Below are 7379 nucleotides of genomic sequence, written 5' to 3'. Positions count from 1 at the left end.
AGCATCTACATATCAAGGTGACTCAAATGGGAAGTGGGGAGCAGTCAGATTAGGTTTCCCAAAGATATTAAAGAGATAGGAAAATCTTGGCCAGGCATGGTGGCTCATGCCTGTAATCCCAGCACTTTGGGAGGCCGAGGCAGGTGGATCACCTGAGGTCGGGAGTTCGACACCAGCCTGACCAATGTGGAGAAACCCCATCTCTACTAAAAATACAAAATTTAGCTGGGCGTGGTGGCACATGCCTGTAATCCCAGCTACTCGGGAGGCTGAGGCAGGAGAATCGCTTGAACCCGGGAAGCAGACGTTGTGGTGAGCCAAGATCACACCATTGCACTCCAGCCTGGGCAACAAGAGTGAAACTCTGTCTCAAAAAAAAAGAAAAACATATATATATATATATATATATATATATATATATATAAATATAAATCTTGAAGACAAAAATTTACCAGATTTGGGCCAAGGTAGAAGGAAACCAAGACTCAAAGGTATAAGAAGACAGGGAGTGGAAGTGCTCAGTGTGTCAGAGACAGAGGTGGAAGAGGGGATGGGGGGAAATGAGGGTTAAACTATAATGGGAACTTCTGCCTCTGTCCACTTGGGGAAAACTGAGATCAGACTTACCCCGCTATCAAAAACAACTGGGAAACGAGATGATCTATGAGGCAATGATTTTCAGTGTGGAAAGCAGACAGCACAAGATATGATGCCTGAAGGAAGGGAAATGAACTGAGTAAATCTTATTGTTGTCTTGGTTTTCTGTACTTAAAAGGTAGCTACAGTGCAGAAGGAGATCCAAAGAAGAGTACAGAAATCACGCTGAGATGAGGAAATGGAGACCAGAGTTTGGGGGAGGCTGAGAAACCAGAATTTGTGGCACAGAGTACCATACAGTAGGTTGCTGCCCAGCAATGAAGAGATCCAGATTGAAAACAGAAATCATCACAGCTGAATCTGAAAACTAGAACTATTTTAGTCAAAAACAAGTTATAGTTACAAGGTACTGAAAAAAAATCGTGATTCTGCAAGTAATTCCAAAAGAGGAATTTTTTAAATGTTTTGAGCAACGTACAGTGTCATTGGAATAGGGTAGATTAGGTACATACTTGGAAGAAACGAAGGAAGAAAGGAAGCAAGCATCACAGGCCGGATGGACAGATACTATGTCTCATTGTTTCTTTTCTTAATAGTTTTTAGGAAAACTTTCCAAACCCAAATAAACCACCAAGTCCTGGTTGCTTTTCTTTGTCTTTGGATAATGTCTTTCACAAAAACGAAGCCCACCCTTGATTATCTTCACTTACAGGGTAATGCCTGTGGGTCCAATGGAGGCTCTGGCTGAATACTAAGCTGTATGTGCATAACACAAAGCTCCATGGGTCTGAGCAAAGAATGTACAGGCAGCTGTAAGCTGAACAATTCTCGGAGCTCACAGGGGATTCGGATACATCTGAGTTCCAACCCACCAAAGGGGAAGAGTTCACTGAACACACAGGCATTCAACTGCGACCCCAGAAGAGTCACACCCTAGTAGGAAGGCTAAACTAGTCCTAGAATAAACTAATCCTATAATAATGGCTACGAGCCTTTAAGACAACCATCAAAAGGATCGAACATCTGTAAATAACCACCTTCCAAAACAAAGTCCCTATTCTTTAAAAGAACACAGCATCTACTAGAAATACAAAAATTAGCTGGGTGTGGTGGTGCACTTATGGCACAATATCAAATGGTCTATCATATCTGTGATTGGAGTCCCAGAAGGAGAAGAGCAAGATAATGGGTGAAAAATTTTTAATTTGATATATTTTGATAAAAATTGTAAACCTACAGATCCAAGAAATCCAATGAACACCAAGCAGCATAAACACAAAGAAAACCACATCAAGGCACATCATAATCACACTGTTGAAAACCAGTGATAGAAAACTTGACAATCAGCCATAGAAAAAGAGACGCATTACATATCCAGGAAAAGGATAAAGATCTGCAGATTTCTTTTTTTTTTTTTTCTTTTTCTTTTCCTTTTTTTTTTTTTTTTTTTTTTTTTTTGAGACAGAGTCTCACTCTTGTTGCCCAGGCTGGAGTGCAGTGGTGTGATCTCAGCTCACTGCAACCTCTGCCTCTTGGGTTCAAGTGATTCTCCTGCCTCAGCCTCCCGAGTAGCTGGGATTACAGGCGCCCACAAACACGCTCAGCTAATTTTTTGTATTTTTTAGTAAAGATGTGGTTTCACCATGTTGGCCAGGCTGGTCTCGAACTCCTGACCTCAGGTGATCCACCCACCTCGGCCTCCCAAAGTGCTGGGATTACCGGCGTGAGCCACTGTGCCTAGCCTGGAGATTTCTTCAGAGAAAGTATGCAAGCACAGTGAATGATATCTTTAAACTTCTTCAAGATGTCAATCTAAAAAAAAAATCCTCCAAAAACAAAGGCAAAATACTTATATTCAGAAAAACAAAAACAGACAATCACCAGCCAATCTGTATTACCAAAAGAAGGTTAAAAAATGTTCTACAGGCAGAAGGAAATGATATCAGATAGAAATCTGGATCTTCACAAATAAATGAAGAGCATCAGAAATGATAAAAGATTTTTCAAAATCATTTCTAAATGTTTCAAAAGAAAATTGACAGCTTAAAGTAAAATAATGTTCTGTGGGGTTATTACCTATGTAAAAGGGAGATATAACAAAAATAATACAAAGGATGGAAGAGGGGGAATGGAAGCACACACTATAAAGAATCTAATAGTGAAGAAGAAGTGGCATGATGTTATTTGAAGGTAGTCGACGGTAAATTAAAGATGCATTTTATAAACCCTAGAACAAAGAAAGAGGAGGAAAATGAAGGTCAATACTTGAGATAAAATGGAATACTAAAGTATACTCAGGCAGGAAAAAAGGAATGAAGAATAGGACAAACAGAAAACAAATAGCAAGTTGGTAGTTTTAAACCCAACCACATGATAATTACATAAGAAGTAAATGAACTAAACATTCCAATTAAAAGTAGAGATGGGGTTTCACCATGTTGACCAGGATAGTCTCGATCTCTTGACCTCATGATCCTCCCGCCTCGACCTCCCAAGGTTTTCCTTCTTTATCCCTAGTCATATTCTTTGTTCTGAAGTCTTCTTTGTTTTTATCTATATAACCACTGCGGATTTTTTACTATTAGTTGTCAAGCTGACAGATCGTCAAGCTGAATTTTAAAAGCAGATCCAGCTCTGTGCTGCCTACGAAGATGGAGAATCCCACTTTTAAGAACAAAGATACAGGCCGGGCGTGGTGACTCACGACTGTAATCGCAGCACTTTGGGAGGCCGAGGTGGGAGGATCACCCGAGGTCAGGAGTCTGAGACCAGCCTGGACAACAAGTTGAAATCCGGTCTCTACTAAAAAGGCAAAAATTAGCTGGGTGTGGTGGTGGACGCCTGTAATCCCAGCTGCTCAGGAGGCTGAGGCAGGAGAATCACTTGAACCTGGGAGGCGGAGGTTGCAGTAAGCTGAGATGGCACCATTGCACTCCAGCCTGGGCGACAAGAGCGAGAGTCTGTCTCAAAAAAAAAAAAAAAAAAAAAAGATACAGATAGATTTAAAAATTAAAAGGATATAAACACATATCATGCAAACACTAATAGTAAGAAATCTGCAGTGGTTATATAGATATAAACAAAGAAGACTTCAGAACAAAGGATATGACTAGGAATAAAGAAGAAAAACCTTGGGAGGCCGAGGAGGGCAGCTCATGAGGTCAAGAGATCGAGACTATCCTGGCCAACACGGTGAAACCCCATCTCTACCAAAAATACAAAAATTAGCTGGGCATGGTGGCGTACGCCTGTAGTCCCAGCTACTCTGGAGGCTGAGGCAGGAGAATCGCTTGAACCCAGGAGGAGGAGGTTGTAGTGAGCCGAGATCGCGCCACTGCACTCCAGCCTGGGCGACAGAGCGAGACTCCCTCCCACTCCGCAAAAAAAATAAATAAATAAGAAGAAAGAAAACTGATACCCAGGGTCCTGGTGCCAGACTTTACACTACTGCAGCTATCCTGGGTGATGTCCAGAGATGAACGGAATCAGAATTACCTGGAGGGTTTGGGGAATCACAGGTTGCTGGGCCCCACCCCCAGAGTTTCTGATTCCTTAGGTCTGGGTGGGGCCTGGGAGTCTGCATCTCTAAAAGATTCCCAGGTGACACGCTGATTCTACTGGTCTTGGGATCCACTCTGGAACCACTTGTTGACTGACCTCTTCCTCCTGTTTAAAACTGACATGATCCTATCTTGAATGATAGTGTAACAATTAGAAAGATAAAATAAGGAAATGATGCGCTTGAAAGTGTAGACACTGATTTCCCTTGTGATTGATTAATTGAGATTGGGATTTGGGATAAAAGGAAACCTAGGATTCTGCCTTAGCCAACCAGTCGGGGGCGGGAGGTGGGCAGGAAATGCAGGAGAAATAAGATTTTGGGGTGAAAACAATGAGCTAGGGTTTGGATTTGCTTGAATTTTCAATGCAGTACTCATATATCTTTCTCACTTTTAAAAGTCTGTGAGGTGGACATGGACTGGCTTCGTCGGTTTGCCAAGGTTTAATTTTGTGCCTTAAATGGGCACTTGAGAGCTTTGTAAAAACCGATGTGTTTGCTGGCCCCGTGTTTACGGGCCTTTGTGATCTCCGCGTTCGCATCCAATCTGGCCCTTGGGCTCCGAGAAGGTACACGTGTGTGTAGGGCAAGGTCCAACCAGTGGGGCCAGGGATCTGAGCAACAAGCGCGCCCTGTGTCCTTTGTGGCAGGGACCGCTTGTGGACGGCGGATGAGGATGAGGCGCCCAGATCTTCCCGAAATATTTCCTAATCGTTCATCATGATGTTATGTTGTTGTTTTCACAAAGGGAATTAATATTGGCCTCCTTTTCTACAAATCTTGCCAACACTGCGTGAAATGTTTTCGTTGCTTCTCTATTCCCAAGGTTTCGTATTATTTTACCAAGTCGGAAAATGGACGGCGCTTAAACTGTTTTTTCCCTGAAAGGAAGAGGGCTGTAATCACTAAAGTGTTTTAAAATCTCCAGCGCAAAAGCCTGCGGTGCCACAGGGACGAGGCCTGGAGAGCAGTCGCTCCTAGAACCGGGGCGCGAAGGGCACCCCCGCCTCCAGCACGCGCCCTCCGCCCTCCCGGCCTCGCTCCCCCCGGAGTGGGGGCCTCGCCGGCCCCTGGTCCCCGTCACTCAGCAACGTCGGGTCAGCCTTCGCCGGGTTAGTGGCGACGCGGCCGCGCGAATTCGCACAGGTATTCCGCGTTTCTCCGCCGTTCCCCGCCTTGGCCGGAGGCTTCCGAGGCGTCCCTTGGTGCAGGGTGGGAAGCGGCCCGCGCCCCAACGGCCCAGGCGCTGGAGCTCACCCCGAGCGAGGGCGGTACCTGAGGCTTCGGGGAGCCCGCGCTGACCGCGGCCCCGTCCCCAGACCCCTCCAGCAACCCCGGCCCCGCCCCAGACCCCTCCGGTGATTTCCCCCCCGGCCCCGCCCCGCAGATCCCTCCAGTGATCTCCCCCCCGCCGCGCCCCCCAGACCCCCCCCCAGTGATTTACCCCCCGGCCCCGCCCCACAGACCCCTCCAGTGGTCCCCCGGCCACGCGGGCTCCGGGGGGGCGGGGCGGGGGCGCGGCCCTTTGCTGGGACAGGGGGCGTGGGCCCGAGTAGCGGGCGGGGGGCGCGGGCCCGGGCTGGGGCGGGGGCGGGGGCGGGGAGCGCGGGAGCCCCGGTGACGCAGCAGTGACGTCGGTGGCAGCGGGCGGGATTTCCCGGGCGAGACCCCGCGGCGGAGTGGGCGCGGCCAGCGTGGAACGGGGGCGAGGGTCGCAGAGTCGCCGGCTCTCCCTTCCCCAGTCTGGGCCCCCACGGCACAGGGGGCCGAGCAGAAGCCCCCAGCGTCCAGGGCCGGGGGAGGGTCCGCCTGCGCCCCCAGGCCCGCGTGGTCGGGCCCTGCAGGGCGGGAGGCGCGGCGCGGGGCGGGGCCGGTGACGGGACGCGGAGACCCCGCGGGCGGCGGGAGGGGCACGAGGCGCGCGTTTGCACCCGAGCCCGGCCCGCGCCCCGATGCGGAGCGATGCCGCTCGGCCTGGCCGCCCCCCGCGAGCACCGCGCTGCAGACGAAGCCCGCGCGTGATCCCGCTCCGGGTAAGTGGGCGCCCGGCCGGAGCCCCGGGTGTCCGCGGGGAGAGCCCAGCCCGGTGCAGCCAGACGCGGAAGGGAAACTCGGGGTGAAAGTCTCCGGACCTAGGGAGACGGCTCTGGCGCCGGTGTGGTCCTCACGCCGCCAGCTGCTGCTGCACGCGACACAAAGACCTGTGGTTCCCTCGGCCTCCTCTCCCGGGACCTCCCGCCGGGCCCCGGGGAAGCCCGCGCGCGGGTGTGGACAGCCCCCTCGGAGCGCGTCCAGGGGCTTCCGGGGCTGGGGGCGCCCGGTCCCTCCGGCATGAGGCAGGCGGGGGCTCGGGGGTCCCCTCTTCCATTTGTAGGTCACAGAGCGTTTGCTGTTTTCCCAGCGGGGACGTCCCCCGTGGAAAAGGACCTCAGTGGCAGGAGATGGCGTGGCTGGTTGGGCGTTTTCTTTGGGGAAATGTTTCTGGCGAGTGCCTGAGGAAGCCCTCCTGGCTCCCCAGCAGCCCAGACGCCGCCTCGGGAGCACTCGGGGTGACGCTGGAGCCACCGCAGCTGAGGGTGGTTTTCCTCACCTCCTTGATGGCGTCTGTCCCCGAGGCTGGTGCTGAACTGAAATGTGCTTCGTTCGCCGCGCGCGCCCGGCAGCAACCGGGGAGCTTTGTTTGGCTTGATTTTTTAAATTGCCTTGGAAATAACGCGAAACGGCGGGAGGGTGAAGTGGGGAGGAGGACAGAGCGTGGTGGGGAAAGACTCCTTAATTTAAGATTTGCTTCATTTCGAGTATTTGGGGCTAAGGTGTTAGGAAACCCGAAAATGTTAAAGTTTGATCAAGTAATAAAGTGGATGATGGACGCCGGGCCTCCCACCGTCTCCCCGGCCCCGCGGCTGCCGCGTCTCTCCTCTACCCGTCGCCTCCCAGGACTGTCAAATGCTGGCACCGGGCCCGTGCCTCTCAGCCGGAGCAAAAGGCCGCCTAGGCTGCGCCCGTGTGCTCCATTAAAACGTGCCAGTCCTGTCGTCTGCTCATGAGTGAGGTGTGCCGCTTCCCACAGTGGACAGGAAATTTGCAGCGGCGAATGCCTCACAGTAGCCATGGGGGACCTGGGCTCTGCGGCCGGCTTCTCGATTCCTCCCGCAACTCCTTTTCCTGATTTTTGTATGAGGCGGGGGAGGGGAACCAGCCGCCATCTGATCTGGCCCTGTTC

The 7379-nt window shown here is 51.1% G+C and overlaps 1 protein-coding gene across 3 annotated transcripts in view, besides 2 other annotated features; it reads left to right on the top strand.

Moving 5' to 3' along the window:
- Positions 4251-5102: an enhancer, noted in NCBI's record as "NANOG-H3K27ac-H3K4me1 hESC enhancer chr1:235814049-235814900 (GRCh37/hg19 assembly coordinates)". NCBI's record gives its function as "activates a minimal SCP1, AML or CMV promoter by ChIP-STARR-seq in naive H9 embryonic stem cells {active_cell/tissue: H9 hESC(naive)}" and the evidence as "EXISTENCE:reporter gene assay evidence [ECO:0000049][PMID:30033119]".
- GNG4 (G protein subunit gamma 4) overlaps positions 5243-7379 on the top strand; it is a 102924-nt gene continuing 100787 nt past the window's right edge. For 2 of the 3 annotated variants that reach the window (NM_004485.4, NM_001098721.2), the window contains exon 1: positions 5243-5302. The gene's annotated coding sequence lies outside the window, so the exon portion shown is untranslated. Of the gene's footprint in view, positions 5303-6066; positions 6190-7379 lie in introns of those variants that run through there. The other variant, NM_001098722.2, reaches the window with a different exon arrangement.
- Positions 6093-6202: a silencer, noted in NCBI's record as "silent region_1989". NCBI's record gives its function as "represses an Ori minimal core promoter by ATAC-STARR-seq in GM12878 lymphoblastoid cells {active_cell/tissue: GM12878}" and the evidence as "EXISTENCE:reporter gene assay evidence [ECO:0000049][PMID:35858748]".

Source organism: Homo sapiens, chromosome 1, assembly GCF_000001405.40.
Source record: "Homo sapiens chromosome 1, GRCh38.p14 Primary Assembly".
NCBI lineage: Eukaryota > Metazoa > Chordata > Mammalia > Primates > Hominidae > Homo > Homo sapiens.
Note: the sequence above shows the minus strand (reverse complement) of the source record. Positions and strands in the feature narration are given on the sequence as shown.